Genomic DNA, 20,119 nt, shown 5'->3' on the forward strand with positions numbered 1-20,119 from the left:
CTGGCTCATTTTTGTATTTTTACTAGAGACGGGGTTTCACCATGTTGGCCAGGCTGGTCTCGAACTCCTGACCTCAGATGATCCACCCGCCTCTGCCTCCCAAAGTGCTGGGATTACAGGTGTGAGCTACCACGCCTGGCCTATTCCATTTTCTTAATGGCTAATAATGTTGAGCATTGCTTTACATGTTTCTTTGTCATCTGTATATCCTCTTTGGAGAAATGTCTCTGTGCATCTTTTTAGCATTTTTAAATTGGGTTATTTTCATATAGTTGAGCCTTGATAGTTCTTTGTGTGTTCCAGATAGAAGTCCTCTGTCAGATAGGTGATTTGCAAGTATTTTCCCCCAGTCTGTAGCTTATCTTTTTATTCTCTTAGCAGTGTTTTTTTTTTTTCGACAGAGTCTCACTTTGTAGCCCAGGCTGTAGTACAAGTGGCATGCTTGGCTCAGTGCAACCTCCACCTCCGGGCTTCAAGTGCTTCTCCAGCCTCAGCCTCCCAAGTAGCTGGGATTACAGACGCATGCCACCATGCCCGGCTAATTTTTGTATTTTTAGTCGAGACAGGGTTTCACTATGTTGGTCAGGGTGGTATCGAACTCCTGACCTCAGGTGATCTGCCTTCCTCGGCCTCCCTAAGTGTTGGGATTACAGGCGTCGGCCACCATGCCCAGCCCCCAATACTATATTGAATAGGAGTGGTGAGAGAGGGCATCTTTGTCTTGTGCCAGTTTTCAGGGGGAACGCTTTCAGCTTTTGCCCATTCAGTATGATGTTGGCTATGGATTTGTCATAGATGGCTCTTATTATTTTAGGTATGTTCCTTCAAAACCTAGTTAGTTGGCTGGGCATGGTAGCTCCCGCTCTACTAAAAATAGGAAAATTAGCCGGGCGTGGTGATGCGCGCCTGTAATCCCAGCTACTCGGGTGGCTGAGGTGGGAGGATCACTTGAGCCCCAGAGGTAGAGGTTGCAGTGAGTCCAGATTGTGCCACCGCACTCCAGCCTGGGCGACAGAGCAAGACCCTGTTTCAAAAAAAAACAAAAAACAAAACCAAAAAACTCCAGTTTGTTGAGAGTTTTTAACATGAAGAGATGTTGAATTTTATCAAAAGCCTTTTCTGCACCTATTGAGATGATCATGTAGTTTCTGTCTTTAGTTCTATTTATGTGATGAATCATGTTTATTGATTTGCATGTATTGAACCAACCTTGCATCCCAGGGATAAAAGCCTTCTTGATTGTGGCGGATTAGCTTTTTGATGTACTGCTGGATTCAGTTTACTAGTATTTTGTTGAGGATTTTTGCATCAATGTTCATCAAGGATATTGGCCTGAAGTTTTCTTTTTTTGTTGTATCTCTGCCAGGTTTTGGTATCAGGATGATGCTGGCCTCATAGAATGAGTAGGGGAGGAGTCCCTCCTCCTCCGTTTTTTTGGAATCATTTCAGTAGGAATGGTACCAGCTCTTCTTTGTACGTCTGATAGAATTCAGCTGTGAGTCCGTCTGGTCCAGGTTTTTTTTGGTTGTTAGGCTATTTATTACTGATGCAATTTTGGAGCTCATTATTGGTCTGTTCAGGGATTCAGTTTCTCCCTGGTTCCATCTTGGAAGGGTATATGTGTCCGGGAGATTATCCATTTCTTCTAGATTTTCTAGTTAGTGTGCATAGAAGTGTTAATAATAGTCTCTAAGGGTTATTTGTAGTTCTGTGGGGTCAATGGTAATATCCCCTTTGTCATTTCTAATTGTGTTTATTTGGGTTTTCTCTCTTTTCTTAATAGTCTAGCTAGCAGCCTATCTATCTTATTCATTCTTTTAAAACACCAGCTCCTGGCTTACTTGATGTTTTGAATGGTGTTTTTGTGTCTCAGTCTTCTAGAGTTCAGCTGTGACTTTGGTTATTTCTTGTCTTCTGCTAGCTTTGGAGTTGGAGGCTTTTGCTTCGTGAGTTCTTTTAGTTGTGATGTTAGGTTGTTAATTTGAGATCTTTCTAACTTTTTGATGTGGGCATGTAGTGCTGTAAATTTCTCTTAACACTGCCCTAGCCGTGTCCCAGAGATTCTGGTCTGTTGTATCTTTGTTCTTATTTGTTTCAAATAATTTCTTGACTTCTGCCTTAATTTCATTATTTACCCAAAAGTAATTTGGGAGCAGGTTGTTTAATTTCCATGTAATTGTATGGGTTTGAGTGATTTTCTTAGTTTTGAATTCTATTTTTATTGATTTGTGGTCTGAGAGAGTGGCTGGTATGCTTTTGGTTCTTTTGCATCTGCTGAGGATTATTTTATGTCCAATTGTGTGGTGGTTTTTAGAGTATGTACCATGTACAGATGAGATATATTCTCTCGTTTTTGGGTGGAGAGTTCTGTAGATATCTATCAGGTCCAGTTGATCCAGTGCTGAGTTAAGGTCCTGGATATCTTTGATAATTTTCTGCCCCAGTGATCTGTCTAATACTGTCAGTGGGGTGTTGAAATCTCCCACTGTTATTGTGTGGGAGTCTAAGTCTCTTTGTAGGTCTCTAAGAACTTGCTTTATGAATCTGAGTGCTGCTGTTGGCTGCATATTTATTTAGGTTAGTTAGATCTTGTTGAATTGAATACCTTACCATTATGCAATGCACTTCTTTGTCTTTTTTTGATCTTTGTTGGCTTAAAGTCTGTTTTGTCTGAAATTAAGATTGCAACTCTGCTTTTGTCTGTTTTCTATTTGCTTGGTAGATTTTTCTCCATTTCTTCATTTTGAGTCTGTGGGTGTTATTGCATCTGAGATGGGTCTTTTTTTTTTCTTTTGAGACAGAGTCTTGCTGTGTTGCCCAGGCTGGAGTGCAGTGGCGCAATCTCGGCTCACTGCAACCTCTGTCCCCCAGGTTCAAGCAATTCTCCTGCCTCAGCCTCCCAAATAGTTGGGATTACAGGCACGCGCCACCACGCCTGGCGGTTTTCTATTTTTAGTAGAGACGAGGTTTCACCATGTTGGCCAGGCTGGTCTCGAACTCCTGACCTCAAGTGATCCACTCGCCTCGGCCTCCCAAAGTGCTGGGATATTACAGGCATGAGCCACTGCACCCAGCCAAGAATGGTGTCTTAAAGGGAGCATATCATTTGGTCTTATTTCTTTATCCAGCTCTTGCCACTCTATGCCTTTTAATTGGGGCATTTAGCCCATTTACATTCAAGGTTAGTATTGATATGCATGTATTTGATCCTGTCATTGTGTTGTTAGCTGTTTATTATGCTGACTTGTTTGTGTGGTTGCTTTATAGTGTTACTTGTCTGTGTACTTAAATGTGTTTTTGTAGTGGCTAGTAATGGCCTTTTCTTTCCTTTTTCTTTTTTTTTTTTTTGAGACAAAGTCTCACTGGGTAGCCCAGGCTGGAGTGCCATGGCGTGATCTTGGCTCACTGCAACCTCTGCCTCCCAGGTTCAAGTGATTCTCCTGCCTCAGCCTCCCGAGTAGCTGGGACTACAGGCGTATGCCACCATGCCCAGCTAATTTTTTTTTGGTATTTTTAGTAGAGACAGAGTTTCACCATGTTAGCCAGGATGGTCTCGATCTCCTGACCTGACCTCGTGATCCACCTGCCTTGGCCTCCCAAAGTGCTGGGATTACAGGCGTGAGCCACTGCACCCGGCCTTTTTTTTTTTTTGAGATGGAGTCTTGCCCTGTCACCCAGGCTGGAGTGCAATGGCATGATCTCTGCTCACTGCAACCTCTGCCTCCCTGGCTCAAGCAATTCTCCTGCCTTAGCCTCCCGAGTAGCTGGGATTACAGGTACCCACCACCATGACCGGCTAATTTTTGTATTTTTAGTAGATATGGAGTTACACCATGTTGGCCAGACTGGTGTCGAACTCCACACCTCAGGTGATTCGCCTGCCTCAGCCTCCCAAAGTGCTGGGATTACAGGCATGAGCCACCACACCCGGCCTTCTTTTCATATTTAGTACTTCTTTCAGGAGCTCTTGTACAGCAGGTCTGCTGGTAAACAAATTCCCTCAGCATTTGCTTGTCTGAAAGGATCTTTTTTATTCTTCTTTTTTTTTGAGACAGGGTCTCATTCTGTTGCTCAGGCTGGAGTGCAGTGGCATGATCATGGCTCACTGCAACCTCTACCTCCCTGGCACAAGCTATTCTCTGGCCTCAGCCTACCAATTGGCTGGGACTATAGGCAGGTACCACCACACCCGGCTAATGTATATGTTTTTGGTAGAGATGGGGTTTTGCCATGTTTCCCAGGCTAGTCTCAGACTCCTGGATTCAGGCACTCCACCCACCTCGGCCTCCTAAAGTGCTGGGATTACAGGTTGAGCCACCACACCCAAGTTGAAAACGATCTCATTTCTCCTTTGCTGATGAAGCTTAGGTTGGCCAGATGTGAAATTCTGGATTGGAATTTCTTTAAAAATGTTTAATATATTGGCCAGGAGTGGTGGCTTACACCTGTAATCCCAGCACTTTGGGAGGCTAAGGCGGGGGCGGGGGGGGGGGAGAGGGGGGAGGGGGGAGGGGAGGGGATCACCTGAGGTCAGGAATTCAAGACCAGCCTGGCCAACATGGTGAAACCTGGTCTCTACTGAAAATATAAAAATTAGCAGCACGTGGTGGTGCATGCCTGTAGTCCCAGCTGCTTGGGAGGCTGAGGCAGGAGAATTGCTTGAACCTGGGAGGCGGAGGTTGCAGTGACCTGCTGAGATCCCACCACTGCACTCCAGCCTGGGCCACAGAATGAGATTCCATCTCAAAAAAAAAAAAAAAAAAAAAAAAAAAAAGAATGTTTAATATAGGCCTCCAATCTCTTCTGGCTTGTAGGGTTTCTGCTGAGAGGCCCACTGCTAGTCTGATGGGCTTCCCTTTGTAGGTGACCTGCTATGTCTCTCTAGCTTCTTTCATTTTGACCCTGGACAATCTGATGATTATGTGTTTTGGGGATGATCTTGTGAAGTATTTTGCAGGGGTTCTCTGCATTCCCTGATTTTGAATATTGGCCTCTCTAGCTAGACTGGGGAAGTTCTCATGGATAGTATCCTGAAATACGTTTTCCAAGTTGCTTCCATTTTCCCCATCTCTTTCAGGGACACCAATGAGTTGTAGATTTGCTCTCTTTTTTAATCCCATATTTCTTGGAGGCTTTGTTCATTCCTTTTCGTTATTTTTTCTCTATTCTCATCTGACTGTCTTATTTCAGAAAGCCAGTCTTCAAGCTCTGAGATTCTTTCCTCAGCTTGGTCTGTACTACTGTTAATACTTGTGATTACATTATTAAATTCTTATACTGTGTTTTTCAGCTGTATCAGGTCAGTTACATCATTTTCTATCCTGGCTGTTTTGTCTGCCAGCTCATATATTGTTTTATTATAATTCTTAGCCTCCTTAGATTGGGTTTCAATGTTCCTAATCTCAATGATCTTTGTTCCTATCCATATTCTGAAGTCTATTTCTGTCATTTCAGCCATCTCAGCCTAGTTAAGAACTCTTGCTTTGGGAGGCCAAGGTGGGCGGATCACAAGGTCAGGAGATTGAGACCATCCTGGTGAACACAGTGAAACCCCATCTCTACTAAAAATACAAAAAATTAGCCGGGTGTGGTGGCGGGCGCCTGTAGTCCCAGCTACTTGGGAGGCTGAGGCAGGAGAATGGCGTGAACCCAGGAGGCGGAGCTTGCAGTGAGCCGAGATTGCACCACTGCCCTCCAGCCTGGGCGACAGAGCGAAACTCCGTCTCAAAAAAAAAAAAAAGAACTCTTGCTGGAGAACTACTGCAGTTTGGAGGAAAGAGGACACTCTGGTTATTTGAGTTGTCAAGAGTCCTTGTGCTCGTTCTTTCTCATTTTTGTGGGCTGATATTCCTTTAGTCTTTGAAGTTGCTGTCCTTTGAATGGGTTTCTTTTTCCTTTATCCTATTTGATGACCCTGGGGGTTTGATTGTGTATAAGGTGGGTTCAGTTGGATGGCTTCATTATTGGAAGATTTTAGGGGACCAAGGCTCAGCTTAGGACTCCTGAACTGCATGCTCTAACTCTGGAGGACTGGTATCCAGCCCTGGCTTTGATCTCTGGCTCCTTCAGGTTAAGAACCTGCTCTGCTAGAGGGGCCAAGCTGCTCCCAGACAGCTGGTCACAACACTCCAATGGGTGGTGCCAGGCAAAGCACTTCATAGGGTAGTGGCAGCAGGATCTGTTCTTGTTTGCATGTGCCAGCGGCAGCACAGCGGGGTGCACGCTTATCGGCTGTGACAGAGTGCTAGTGGATGTCAGGGAGCCAGCCTCTGGGAGGGCATTTGTAGCAGCAGCAGTAGTGGCAGTATGGCTGGGGTGGGGGCAGGGGCCACGCTGGCAACTGTGCACCTGTTCATTGGTGCCGATGATGGGGTTAGCATGGGGGCACTGGTGGGTGCAGGACTGTGTGTGCCCTTTGTGCATGTTCACACTGGCAGCAGTGGCTGCTCAGGGCTAGGGGTAGGTCCTCTGTTTTCTCTGCCTAGTTTCCTGTGGGAGGCCCAGCATAGGTGGGGAACTGGGAGGGGTGGGGCTGGCGGGCTCTATGCTGCCAACACTCTGACAACAACGGTGGTGGGAGAGGAGAATGAGGGGCTGGGGTGCACTTATGCTGGCAACAGTGGCACAGCAGGGTGCACACACAGGCATGCTGTTGGGGAAGGGTGGGCTAGGTCCACCCACGCACACACCACCAGCAAAACAATATTGAGGGTGCCTGTGGGCAAGAACCTGCAGGCAAAACTGCACAGGGGAGGCTGCAGTGGGAGCGGGGCTCAGGTGGGCTAGTGTGTCCATGGGGCCGCTGTGCAGGAGTATTCCCCGTTCAGGTACAGTCTGCCAGTGCAGGAGCTCTGATGCCGCCCCCAAGAGGTACCTGGGGATTGCACTGCAAGCAGGCTTGGCCAGGCTGGGGCCCCAGGAGAGGCCAGCAGACTGAGGGTTGCTCAGGTCAGACCAGCCCCATCTGATGGGCAAGACTACCCTGGAGAGTTCAGGTCTGACAGTTCCCCTACGGCTAAAGTCTCCTATGAGAGCAAGTCAAGCCTAGGGGATGGGTGTCCTGGCTGTGCTCCACCACATATGCTTCTGCATCAAACCCCCTGGCCTGGCTTAGGCTGGAGTTCTGCCCCGCCTGAGGTAGGAGGCAGAACTCGACTTAGGAGGTGAGGCTTGGACACCAGACCAAATTGAGGCTAGCTAAAAGAGGTCAGGGCAGAAGCGCCTCCCCATAAGACCCACCCCACAGTGTGCTATGTCAGTTTGCCATTGCCGTGGCAACACTTGGAAGTTACTACCCTTTTTCATGGCAATGACCCAACAACCTAGAAGCTACCACCCACATTCTAGAAATTTCTTTATAAACTGCCCCTTAATTTGCATATAATTAAAAGTCAGTATAAATGTGACTGCAGAGCTGCCTCTGAGCTGCCGCTCTGGGCGCACTGCCCATGGGGTAGCCCCGCTCCATAGGGAGCAGTGCCTCTGCTGCCGTGCACATGGCTGCTTTAGTAAAAGTTCTGTTTATCACCACCAGCTCGCCCTTGAGTTCTTTCCTGGCTGAAACCAAGAACCCTCCCGGGCTGTCTCAGTTTTGGGGCTCGCCTGCCCTGCATCACTACCACTTCTTTAAGCAGCTTCCCCTGCCAACGCAGCTGGCCGTGGCAGTCGAGGGGTCCTTCCTGCCGGGATTCCAGAGGCCATGGCAAGAGTGGGTTGCCCCTTGCTAGTTCAATTCACCCCCTCCACAGGAGTCACTGGGAGCCAGGAATGATTCCTGGTGCACAGTAGCCCTGTGCAGGGTTCCCAGCCTCCTCCTCTGCCTTCCATCCAGCCTCTATGTCTTCCCTCCGTTCACTCTCAGGGCCTTCCCACTGAAGATCTAGGAGTCTAGGAGTGCACCTGTCTGCACAGTGTCCCTGTCTCTTAGTGGGAGATGTTTCTCCTGGCTGCGTCTAGTTGGCCATCTTGGAGCAGGAGCAAAATCTAGGCAGTCTTTAAACAGCTTCAAATTAGGGTTCTCACAAACCCCTCTTTGGGTAAGCAAGGTATAGAGGGAAGGGACCCAGAGCTTCCTTGCCCTCTCTGGACACACCACCCTCCAGGAACCTCCACGTGTTCAGCTCTCTGGAAGCTTCTTTTATCTCTTTTGCTTTACGTCTTCCCTCACTGAGACTTCCAGCACAGTGTTGAATATGAGTGGTGAGAGCTGACATTCTTGCTTTGTTCCTGATCTTAGAGGGAGACCATTAAGTCTTTTGCCACCAACTAGGATGTTAGCTGTAGGTTTATTATAGGTGTTCTTTTTCACCTTGAGGAAGTTCCCTTTTATTGCTAGTTTGCTAACAGTTTTTTTTTTTTTTTAATCATGCGTGGGTGTTGTATTTTCTTCAGTTCTTTTTCTGCATCAATTGATGTAATCACATGAGTTTTCTTCTTTTGGTTGTTAATATGGTGTATTCCACTGACTGCTTTCTGATTATTGAACCAGTGTTGCATTCCTGGAATAAAATCCCATTGGTCATAGTGTATTATAGGTTGAGTATCCCTTATACAAATGCTTGGGAGCAGAAGTGTTTTGGATTTCAGATTTCTTTGGATTTTGGAATATTTGCATATGCATCATGAGATATCTTAGGGCTGGGACCCAGGTCCAAACGTGAAATTCATTTTTGTTTTTTTGTTTTTTTTTTTTTTTTGAGATGGAATTTCGCTCTTGTTGCCCAGGCTGGAGTGCAATGGCACAATCTCAGCTCACTGCAACCTCTCCCTCCTGGGTTCAAGCGATTCTCCTGCCTCAGTCTCCCAAGTAGCTGGGATTACAGGCACCTGCCACCATGCCCGGCTAATTTTTGTATTTTTAGTAGAAACGGGGTTTCACCATGTTGGCCAGGCTGGTCTCGAACTCCTGACCTCAGGTGATCCACCTGCCTCAGCCTTCCAAAGTGCTGGGGGAATTCAGGTGTGAGCCACTGCACCTGGCTTCATTTATGTTTTATATACACCTTATGCACGTAGTCTGAAGGTAATTTTACTTTTCCCTTGGAGATGCTGAATAAACTGCATTGTGCACCTGCATTTTGACTGCAACCTGTCACATGAAGTTGGGTATGGAATCTTCTACTTTTGACATCATGTCAGGGCTCAAAAAGTTTTGGATTTTGGAGCATTTTGGATTTGGGATTTTTGAATTAGGAATGCTTAACCTGTATTCTTTTTATGTATTGCTGGATTTCCTTTGCTGGTATTTTGTTGGAGATTTTTGGATCTACACTCATAAGAGATACTGGTTTGTAATTTTCTCTTTTTTGTAATGTTTTTGTCTGGTTTTGGTATCAAGGTAATGGAGGAAGTGTTTTTTCCTCTTCCGTTTTCTGGAAGACATTTTATAGAATCCATGTTAATTCTTTAAACATTTGTTAGAATTCACCACTGAAACTATCCGAGCCTGGAGATTTATTTTACAAAATGCTTTTAACTATTAATTTCAAAAAAAAGTGTTTTCTTGAGTCAGGGCTTCGATCTGTTGCCCAGGCTGGAGGGCAGTAGCGTGAACACAGCTCACTACACTTTGACTCCAGTGATCATCTTGCTCAAGTGATCATCCCGCCTCAGCCTCCCAAGTAGCTGGGACTGCAGCCGTGTGCCACCATGCCCGGCTTTTGGGGTTTTTTTGTTTTTTGTGTTTTTTTTGAGACAGAGTCTTGCTCTGTCACCCAGGCTGGAGTGCAGTGGCGCGATTACAGCTCACCGCAACCTCTGCCTCCCAGGTTCAAGCGATTCTCCAGCCTCAGCCTCCCATGTAGTTGAGATTACAGGCATGTACCACCACACCTGGGTAATTTTTGTATTTTTGGTAGAGACAGGATTTCACCTTGTTGGCTGGGCTGGTCACAAATTCCTGACCTCAAGTGATCTGCTCACCCCGGCCTCCCAAAATGCTGGGATTACAGGCATGAGCCACTGCGCCCAGCCCTAAAAAGGTTTTTTTAAAAGCCATTCTTGTAGAGGAGGTCTACTGGCTACACATTCCCTTGGCTTTCCTTTAAGAATGTCTCTATATTTTACCTTTATCCCTAAAGGCTATTTTCACTGGATATGGACTTCTGAATTGACGGTTTTTGTTTAGCACTTTAATATGTTATACCACTTCCTTCTGGCATCCATCATTTCTGGTGAGAAATCCACAGTCCCCCAAATCTTTATTCCCCTATAGGTGATGTATTATTGTCCTCTGGCTGCTTTCCAGATTTTTCTTTGCCTTTAGTTTCAGCAGTTAGATGAGGTGTGCACATCTTTGTGTTTCTACTGTTTGGGATTTGTTCAGCTTCTTGGATCTGTAAGTTTATGTCTTTCATCAAATTGGGAAGTTATCAATCATTGTTTCCTAAAATATGGTTTTTTGTTTTTTTGTTTTGTTTTGTTTTTTGAGACAGAGTTTCATTCTTGTTGCCCAGTCTGGAGTGCAATGGCACAATCTTGGCTCACTGCAACCTCTGCCTCCCAGGTTCAAGCTGTTATAAGTAAAATGTTTATTCAGAAACAGAATGCTTGTTCCTCGGTACCACAAGGAAAAATCAGCATTCAAACAAAAAGTTTTCTCAGCAAGGCAAATTTACTTTCTGCAGAAAGGGTGCTCCTCGCAGATGGAACAATGGCGAGAGCACACCCGAACAAAGGAGGAAAGCCGTTTTTATCCCTTATGCAGCTTGTCCCTGCTGCTGTGTCCTATCTCCATTGGCTGGAGCCAGACCTCACAATCTAAGCTAAACCTGACTGGCTAATAACTTAAAACTTTCCTAAATAGATAAAGGCAAGGGAGAACAAAGGAAAAAGAGGAAGTTGACTCATTCCCTTATATCTAACATCCCTTACATCTAAAAACAAATATCTTGGTTAAAGTACAAGGACACAGAATGTACTCATTCCCTTATATCTAACATCCTTTATGTCTAAAACAAATATTTCGGTTAAAGTACAAGGACATAGAATGTACATTATTTCTAACACTTATGATTTATTCTTTAGTGAGAAGGGAAACTTTGAAGAGGAACTTTTTTACTTTCTACAAAGCAATTCTCCTGTCTCAGCCTCCCGAGTAGCTGGGATTACAGGCATTCACCACCACACTTGGCTAATTTTGTATTTTTAGTAGAGACAGGGTTTCTCCATGTCGATCAGGCTGGTCTCAAGCTCCCAACCTCAGGTGATCCACCTGCCTCAGCCTCCCAAAGTGCTGGGATTACAGGCATGAGCCACCGCACCCAGCCCTCAGATATGTTTTTGTCATTTTACTCTTCCTTCAGGACTCCAGTGACATGAAAGACCTTTGGTTATTATATCATGTGTCCCTGAGGCTGCTTATTTTATTCTATCTTTTCTTCTCTCTGTTAGATTGGATAATTTACATTGAACTGCCTTTAAGTTCACAGGTCCTTTGGCCCTTTCCTGTTTATCTCCATTCTGTTATTATTATTATTACTATTATTATTATTATTTTTTTTTTTTTTGAGATAGGTTCCCACTCTGTCATCCAGGCTGGAGAGCCATGGAGCAAGCATGGCTCACTGTAGCCCCAACCTCCTGGGCTCAAGCGATCCTTCTGCTTCAGCCTCCTGAGTAGCTGGGACTACAGGTGTGCACCACCAAGCCTGGCTAATTTTTAAAAAAAAATTTTTGTAGAGATGAGGGTCTCTCTGTGTTGCCCTGGCTGATCTAGAACTCCTGGGGCAAGTGATCTTCCCACCTCAGCCTCCCAAAGTGCTGGGATTACAGGCATGAGCCACTGTACCTGGCCTCCATTCTGCTATTAAGTCCATTGAGCAAGTTGTTTATTTCAGTTACTATATTTTTAAAAATTTTCCATTTGATTCTTCTCTTTTTGTTTGTTTTTGTTTTTGTTTTTGTTTTGAGACAGGGTCTTACTCTGTTGCCCAGGCTGGAGTATAGTGGTGCAGTTATAGCTCACTGCAGCCTCAACCTCGTGTGTTCAAGTGATCTTCCCATCTGAGTGTGCTGAGTAGCTGAGACCACAGGCACGCACCACCATGCCTGGCTAATTTTTTTTTATTTTTTATTTTGTAGAGACCAGGACTTGCTGTGTTGCCCAGGCTAGTCTCGAACTCCTGGTTGATTCTTCTTTATCATCTGTTTCTTTGCTGAGACTTTCTATTTTAACATTTGTTGCAAGCATTTGCAATTTTAAAAATAGCTGTTTAAAGTCTTCATCAGATAATCCCAACATCTGTGAAGTGTTGACAGTGGTTGATTGGGTTTTCCAGGCAAGTTGACATTTTCGTGGTTGTTTGTATGCTGAGTAATTTTGGATTGCATCCTGGACTTTTTGAGCATTATGTGGTGATACTCTAGGTCTTATTTAAGCTATATGGGAAATATTGATATTTTTGTTTTAGCCAACAGCCAATCTTACTTTCAGGCCACAAGTTCCAATCCCCAACCTGTAGGCCATGAGCATCACGTCAGTTTTTAAAGCCCCCGTGCCATTTCCTGGTCAGATCTCCTGGGCGTGCACTGCCCAGTGGTCATTCTGGGACCCGAGTGGTTAGTTCAGTTCTCAAACTCTTTCGTAAGTCAAACTATGGTATATGCACAGGATTCACAGATGCTCGATTCTAGAGAGTTCTGGAGACATAAACCACTTCATGGGGTGACTTTCCTGAGCTTCTGGCTCTGTGCTGTCTACCTGGTACTTTTCTGATTCCTTGCGGTTTACTGTTGTACACGTCTGCCATTGGGCCCACTTCCCAGCCCACATGGAGAGAGGACAGAGAGAGAAAAGGACAACGGTTGCCCCACCCCCTCGGAACAGTAGCTGGCACCACAGGGCCTGGGGCATGAGGAACAGGGGAGATGGGGGGCTTCTGTGTTTTCCAGGAGAGTCAGGAGTTCCTCTTCTGGCCCCAGAGCCAGGCCTGGAGGCTCTGCTGAGCTCTCGTGTGCTCTGTGGTGCACACTTCTGCTTCCAGATTGCTGCTGCACTTTCTCGTGGGGGGCGGTGGGAACACTCTGCATTCGTGGCTCTTCCCTGGTCCACCTGCTGCTGTCTTCAGTCTTCCGGCAGCTGCCAAGCCTCCTGCCCAGGTTTCAGAGCTGTAGTCAGTGGCAGGGGAAGGGGCGCCAGCCGACCTGCCTCACCAGCCGCTTGCTTTCTTTTGTGTTCACGCTGGCCTCATCCCTGCGGTGTGGGTGGACTGTATGGGCTCAGCCAATCCAGTCATGCAGGTCACTCAGGTCCCGTTTCTGACGGCCACTGGCAGTGCAGCATTGAGCACGCTTGCTCAGCCCCAGACGTGTGCACTTGGGTGTCTCCGTGACCTGGGCCAGGATTTCTGGAGGACTGAGGCTGCAGACATGGAATTGCCAAGGAGAGTGCTGCCCAGAAAGACTGTCTCGCGCACTCCGTGCAGACCTCTTCGCTTTCTTACTTTCCGGGACGGGACAGTGGCCTCGCTAACCACATTCCCCTCTCCCCTGGGGACTCTTGTCTGATTGTTTATTGAGCCGAAAACAGGGTCCATCTGGGTGCTGTGGGGTGCAAAGGCAAGTCCCAGGGGGCAGCTTAGAGAGAGTCGAGCAGGAAAGCGCTAGGGCTGCGGGGGTCCCCGCCACAGTGCGCTGCTGCATGTGGCTCCGCCCGGAAGGATCCCACTCCTCCAAACAGGTCAGCACAAGGGCAGCTGTCAGGATGCCACCTTCCTAAGTGGCTTGCAGAGCTGGTGGCTGGGTCAACATTTGCCTCCAGATGCGATCATCTGAGTGCAGCCTGGTACTTACACAGCCGGGCCCTGAGCAAGCATCCCTTCAGCACCCGCCCTGGGAAGGGCACCGGCTCTGCGTGGCTGGTCACACCTCAGCTGAGAAGGTTCTGATTGCTGCCCGCAGGGCCGAGATCAGCCTCGTGGGCTGGGCAGCTTTTCAGCTCCACTCCCTGGGCCTGCTCTCGCGGCATTCACGACCTCATGTGTTCAGTTACAGCTGGCTGCCAGGGCCAGTCCCAACTCCCTGAGGGGGAGGCAGCACCCAAGGGGAATTAGGGGCCGTCACAGTGGAGTGGAGGGCCCTCCGAGAAAGAGGCAGGCAAAATCCCAATGCTCGGGCTCCTGGAGCCCCGGCCAGTGAGGGTCCCGAGCTCCTGAGCCTCCGCTTGCCCACTGAGCACCTCCTGCCACACACGCTGTTTCTGGTGCTGGACACGGCAGCGCGCAGCCCCACGTGGCTTCCCCCAGCAGGGAGAGAGAGAGAGAGACAAGCAGGCAGACGCAGGGAAGCTGTTGTGCACCATGGGATCAGGGAGCCGCTTGCGAGATGAGGACAGGACAGCACGAGGAGGTGAGGCTGGGGAAGGTGACAGAACCGGAGCCCTTGGGGCCATGTCCGGTTCCCTGCCCCTCCCAGGGCTGTCATTTGCTTGGCACCTCAGTTTTCCCAATTCCCTCAGAGGCGGCAAGCTGGTGAGGGGCTTTTGTTTGTCTACCCAGTGCTTTTTGGACATCATGCATAAGACTGCACAGACTCTCCTGCCACTCTGCAGACAGGAAATGCAGGCCCTGCACATGTTAGCCTGGCTGGAGCCAGCATCTGGGCCCAGGTATCCAAGTCGGTGGCCTTTGGCCCACTTGCTGGTGTGAGCATGGCCTCGTGCAGCATAGCAGTGTGCAGTGGTGGCCAGGGCTGCAGCCCCAGCGATTCTTCTGCCAGTCACTCTGTGCCCTCAGCACGGGGCCTCTGATCTGTGCCTGTTTCCTCACCTCTAAAATGGATGCAAGAAGAGATGCTCCAGCATCTTGGCTCACGCAGGACAGGCTAGGGGGTGCAGGACCGTCGCCCCGGTGTGGATTTTCAGTTGCACTTTCAGATGCATCTCGGCATGCGCAGTGGGTTACAGCCCCTCAGGTCATCTCCCCACAGTCCCTGCCCCAGAGGTTGTCGAGGCGTGTGTGGAGCAATGCCTGGCGCAGTGGAAATGCTGTCAGTGTTAGCCACTGTGACTGGATTTAAGTTGATTATTTTGGATCAAGTGTTATCACACTTCAGGGTGGCCCTGAGAAGCAAGAAGGGGTCAGGACTCAGGAAGCACCATCTCTCATAAGCCCTGGGGGGTGAGGGGCCAGTGGCCTCCCTGGGAGGCCAAGAGGAGAAACAGCTTTCAAGAAAAGCAAGTCTGGCCTGGTTCAAGAGACCCCAGCCCAGCCCAGCCCATCGGCTGAGCAGGGACCACAGGGTCCTGGCCCAGGTCCAGCCGAGCTCATGGACTCTCAAAGCTGACTCAGCGTGGGGACCAGCTGCCGGGCCGGCCCGGAGCATTCAGGGGGCTCCTGGGAGGGAGGGACTGGTACCTGATAGAGAACCCTCAGAGGGGGCTCCAGGCACGCATCATCAGGTCCCAGTGTGGCCTGAGGCCTAGAGGGCAGGACCCACAGTGTCCACCTCATGTCCACAGGGCCTCGGCATGAAGGCTGGAGGGGTGAGCCTGGGGACCCTCAGCCAGGCGTGGGTTGGTGTGGGTTAGGGGTAGACCTTAGCCACAGCTGGGACTCTCCCAGCTCAGGGGATGCCCAGGAGAGGGATGGGCTTGGAGGTGAGAAGGGCGTTGAGAGTGGGGTGGCCAGAGGGTCACATGATGTGGTAGGAGGCAGTGGCTGGTGAGTTGGGGACCTCCCCTCACGCCCACACCGCCACCCCCAGGTCAGCGCCAACGGCAATGTCCTGCGCAGCGAGATCGTGGGCTCCATCAAGATGCGAGTCTTCCTCTCGGGCATGCCCGAGCTGCGCCTGGGCCTCAACGACAAGGTCCTCTTTGACAACACGGGCCGTGAGTACCCTTGCCAAGGGCCCTGCCCATGAGGATGGCCTCACCAGGCACACACATTACAGCCTAGGGCAGGGTTGGGCCAGGCGGAGGAACGAGCTGGTTTCAAGCACTTGGTTGAGCAGCACTTCACACTGCTTGAGACAGCTGTGTAGAGTATTCATCCTTCCCTGGACATAGAAGGTGCAGGGGAGTGAAGATCCTCCAGTCCAGCTGGGAGGCCCCCGTCACCCGGCCTCACACGCCAGGTCCTGCACCCTGCCCTGCTCTGCCTGGGGCACTGGGGCCTAGGCTAAGGCCTTGCTCTCTCCCTCCCAGGCCAGGTTTCTCCCCTCACCTTGGGCCCTAGGTGTGGGCCGTGTGAAGGCCACGCATGGTGATTCTCGCTCCCGCCGCCTGGCCTCTAACACTTCCCACAGCAGGGCGGGGGCAGAGGGGCCCAGGGCCTGGTTTTGTGAACTGTGCCTCCCACTCAGCTGTCACAGGCCACTGGAAGAGGGTGCAGTGGCTGGGCATGCCCCCGTTCCTAGCCCGGTGAGGGCTTCTCGGGCATCAGTCTATCAGGGCAGCTCCCCGCCTGGGGCTGGGCAGGGCCCCACCCACATAGCCCTCAGTGAGGTGGCAAACCAAGGTAGGACCCAGGACCCCGTGGATGCCAGGGCCTGAGCCCTTGGGGAGCCCCGAGCCATCCCCCAGCCAAGTCCACTGATCAATCATTCAGTGAACGTGTCCTGAGCAGGTCCCCTGGCTGGGCCCTGGGATGGCCGCTGGGGACTCAGCATGAACCAGACCCACCAGCCCTGCCCCTGGGGACCCCAGGGGTGTGAGGAGTGATGGGGCAGTTGTCTTGGGACCCAGCCCCCTTGGTGTTTGTGGCCCAGGCTGCTCTCAGTGCGTGGACTGGGGGCCCTGCTCTGCCGGGGTGGGTTGCAGGTGGTAGGAGTACTGCTGAGATAGTGACCCGGAGGGCCCAGATCTGTCCTACCCTCACCCCTGACCCCAGGCGGCAAAAGCAAATCCGTGGAGCTGGAGGATGTGAAGTTCCACCAGTGTGTGCGGCTATCACGCTTCGAGAATGACCGCACCATCTCCTTCATCCCACCCGACGGCGAGTTCGAGCTCATGTCCTACCGTCTCAACACCCACGTGAGTGCGCCACCCTGGGGCTGGGCTGTCGGCAGACTCCTCCTCCCCTTCACCTCCAGGAGGTGAAGCCCAGGCAGGCGCCAGGGCCAGCCCCACCCCACGCTCCATGAGCTGCCTGGCTCTGCAGAGATGGAGTCTGAGGACTTGGGACTCCGAGCTTTCTGAGGGGCACAGACCCCTTTGGCCACCACCACCCCTTTCCCAGGCAGCCCCCAGAGCAGGCCCTGGTCATGTTTTCTGCATTTGCCCCAAGGCCTCCCCGGTAGCTCCCGGCTACCTCGGCCTGTCTGCCCTGGCCCTCCCTGACGCTGGCTGTACGCTCCCTGCAGGGCTCTGGGCCCACACCTGGGCAGATGGTCCCTTGCCCTGGGCCTTGGTTTCCCCTCTGAAATGGGCCTTTGTCAAACAAGGCCAGGTGTGAGCACCCTCTTTGCCCTCCTTGGCAGGTCAAGCCTTTGATATGGATCGAGTCGGTGATCGAGAAGCACTCCCACAGCCGCATCGAGTACATGATCAAGGTGCGTGGGCCGAGGCCACCCACTGAGGGCCTTCTGGTGTCTCTGGCCCGTCCCAGGAGCCTAACCGAGGGCTGGGGGTGCCGTAGGGCTGCCATCCGTGCACCCTCACTGTGGCCTCAGATGCAGGAGTGACCTGACACTGAGGGGACACCGCCTGGGGCCTGCTCCTAGATGGTGCCACTTGTGGGGAGGGGCCTGTAGCCAGGCATCCAGGACACTCCCAGAGGTGTTGCCCCCAGGTGGAGCACCTCTGCCCCTCAGCGACCCTGTCCAGCGCAGCCTGGCCCTGGGACATAGACATTGTCCTAGGAGGGCAGGGCAGAGGGAGGGATGAGGAGCCTTGGAAGCTGAGCAGACAGGAGGATGAAGATGAAACTCCTGAAATTAGGTCTTGGGAGAGTCTCGAGGGCAGGAGAAGGGGTGGGTAGTGCCTGGAGAAGTGGGGCCAGGGGCGGGGCTAGGGAGGATCCCCCGGGCCAGGCTGAGGGGCATGTGTCCTGGAGAGGCTGGCCAGCTCACCTTGGCCTCCATAACCCCGGGCCGCATTGGCCTGGCCTGCAGGCCAAAAGCCAGTTCAAGCGGCGGTCAACAGCCAACAACGTGGAGATCCACATTCCCGTGCCCAATGATGCCGACTCACCCAAGTTCAAGACGACGGTGGGGAGCGTTAAGTGGGTCCCCGAGAACAGCGAGATCGTGTGGTCCATCAAGTCCTTCCCGGTGAGCACTCTGTCCAGACATCCACGTGCCCCCTGCGCCTGTCTCTGCAAGGCAGCCTGGGTGCCTCAGGACCCCCTGCACCTCAAGATGGGGTGACAGTGGCCACTGTGTCTTCCACACCTGGGGCTTCTGAAAGGGTGGACGGAGAGCTGAGGACTGGAGTGGGAGGAAGCAGAGGCTGACTCGGCCCCTGGGCCCCTTTCTGCCTTCCTCTTGTTTGTGAACCAGCCTCTGTCTTCACCTCAGGGCAGTGCCCTCTCCCTCCCTCTCTGTGATGCCCCTGAGTACTGATGTGAGATGGGGCTCCTGTCCATGCAGGCCCTGAAGGAGCCCCGTCCACACTGGCAGGTCCAAGGCCCTTTCTGTGCAGGCTCAGCCTTGCCTGCCATCAAGGGGAACGGCTGCCTGTAGGCCGGAGCAGCACAGCCTCCAGAGCTCCGCACCAGCCGCCCATGTCCTGGGCCAGCTCTGCATCGGCGTGGCTTCCCTGACAACATGTTAAGGATTCTGAGGAGCTGAGTCTGGGCTTGCCGGGTGTACACAGTGCACAGAGAGGCTAGGCCCAGGCATGGCTCTGGAGCTGAGCCGGGTGGCACTGACCTGCTCCACCAGGGGGGCTCAGGGCAGGCGCTGCTTTCCATGTTCTCCCCTCTCTCTCCATCTGCATCCCAGGGGGACTTGGGGACAGCCCCAGCTGAGTTAAGCTGGAAATGCTGCAATTCAAGTGCCTTGAATTTCATGATGGTACTTTCCCTCCCAGCCTCAGTCTAATCACATGACATAAAATACAGAAAGTAGAGGAAGGAGAGAGAAAAGCCAGTTACCCCACCACCTAATACTCCCGTCAGCCTTTCCGCGTGTCTCCTCACCTTTCTTTCTGCGTATTTTGCTTTTCCTCATTATGTGCAAGTAGAGCCAGCTCAGTGCCTGCCCTTCCACGTGGCGCTGCGGCAGAGCGTTTTCCTTCTGGTATTGACTGTCTTCTTGGCGGTCACCTTTGGGAGCTGTGGATATTCCATGGAGGGGTGGTGACCATCCCGGATAGTTGGATTAGCTCCTCTTTTCCTGCAATTCCACTGTTGAAAATAGTGTTTATCATTTAAAACACACTGGGAGAATACTTCATCAAATAAACAGCATGGTGAGCTGTAGACGGGGGAGGAAGGGACAGGGCTAAGGGCCGAGACACAGGCTGGCGTGGACTGTGCTTGTGTAGATTTTACTTCGAAGCCATGCACAGGCACACCTCATTTTATTGTGCTTCCCAGATACTGCATTTTTATTTTTGTTTTAGTTTTTAAACAAATGGAAGGTTTGTGGCAACCCTGCGTTGAGCAAGTCTGTTGATGTCATTATTCCAACAGCATGTGGTCTCTGTGTTGTCACTTTTTAGCAATAAAGTATGTTTTAACTAAGGTATGTACATTCTCCTAGACATAATACTGTTGCACATTCAGACTACAGTATACGGTAACCTTTTTTTTTTTTTTGAGACGGAGTCTCGCTCTGTCGCCTAGGCTGGAGTGCAGTGGCACAATCTCGGCTCACTGCAACCTGTGCCTCCCAGGTTCAAGTGATTCTCCTGCCTCAGCGTCCTGAGCAGCTGGGATTACAGGCATGTGTCACCACGCCTGGCTAATTTTTGTATTTTTAATAGAGACGGGGTTTCACCATGTTGGCCAAGCTGGTGACGAACTCCTGACCTTGTGATCCGCCTGACTCAGCCTCCCAAAGTGCTGAGATTACAGGTGTGGGCCACCGTGCCCGGCTGGTAAACGTAACTTTTACATGCACTGGGAAACCAAAAAATGTGTGTGACTTGCCTAACTGTGCTATGTGCTTTATGGCAGTGGTCTGGAACCAAACCTGCACTGTGTGAAGGTACACCTGTCAGTGCTTCCCATGCATA

General features: G+C 50.6%; 1 protein-coding gene across 2 annotated transcripts in view, besides 1 other annotated feature; it reads left to right on the forward strand.

The window, feature by feature from the left end:
• AP1M1 (adaptor related protein complex 1 subunit mu 1) overlaps window positions 1–20,119 on the forward strand; it is a 47,996-nt gene that overhangs the window by 12,808 nt on the left and 15,069 nt on the right. For both annotated transcript variants that reach the window (NM_001130524.2, NM_032493.4), the window contains 4 exons: window positions 15,703–15,829; window positions 16,830–16,972; window positions 17,419–17,490; window positions 18,052–18,210. In NM_001130524.2, the coding sequence (NP_001123996.1) occupies window positions 15,703–15,829; window positions 16,830–16,972; window positions 17,419–17,490; window positions 18,052–18,210 (501 nt within the window). The remainder of the gene's footprint in view (window positions 1–15,702; window positions 15,830–16,829; window positions 16,973–17,418; window positions 17,491–18,051; window positions 18,211–20,119) is intronic.
• Window positions 13,132–13,632: an enhancer, noted in NCBI's record as "H3K4me1 hESC enhancer chr19:16334661-16335161 (GRCh37/hg19 assembly coordinates)". NCBI's record gives its function as "activates a minimal SCP1, AML or CMV promoter by ChIP-STARR-seq in primed H9 embryonic stem cells {active_cell/tissue: H9 hESC(primed)}" and the evidence as "EXISTENCE:reporter gene assay evidence [ECO:0000049][PMID:30033119]".

This window comes from Homo sapiens, chromosome 19 (assembly GCF_000001405.40).
Source record: "Homo sapiens chromosome 19, GRCh38.p14 Primary Assembly".
Lineage (NCBI taxonomy): Eukaryota > Metazoa > Chordata > Mammalia > Primates > Hominidae > Homo > Homo sapiens.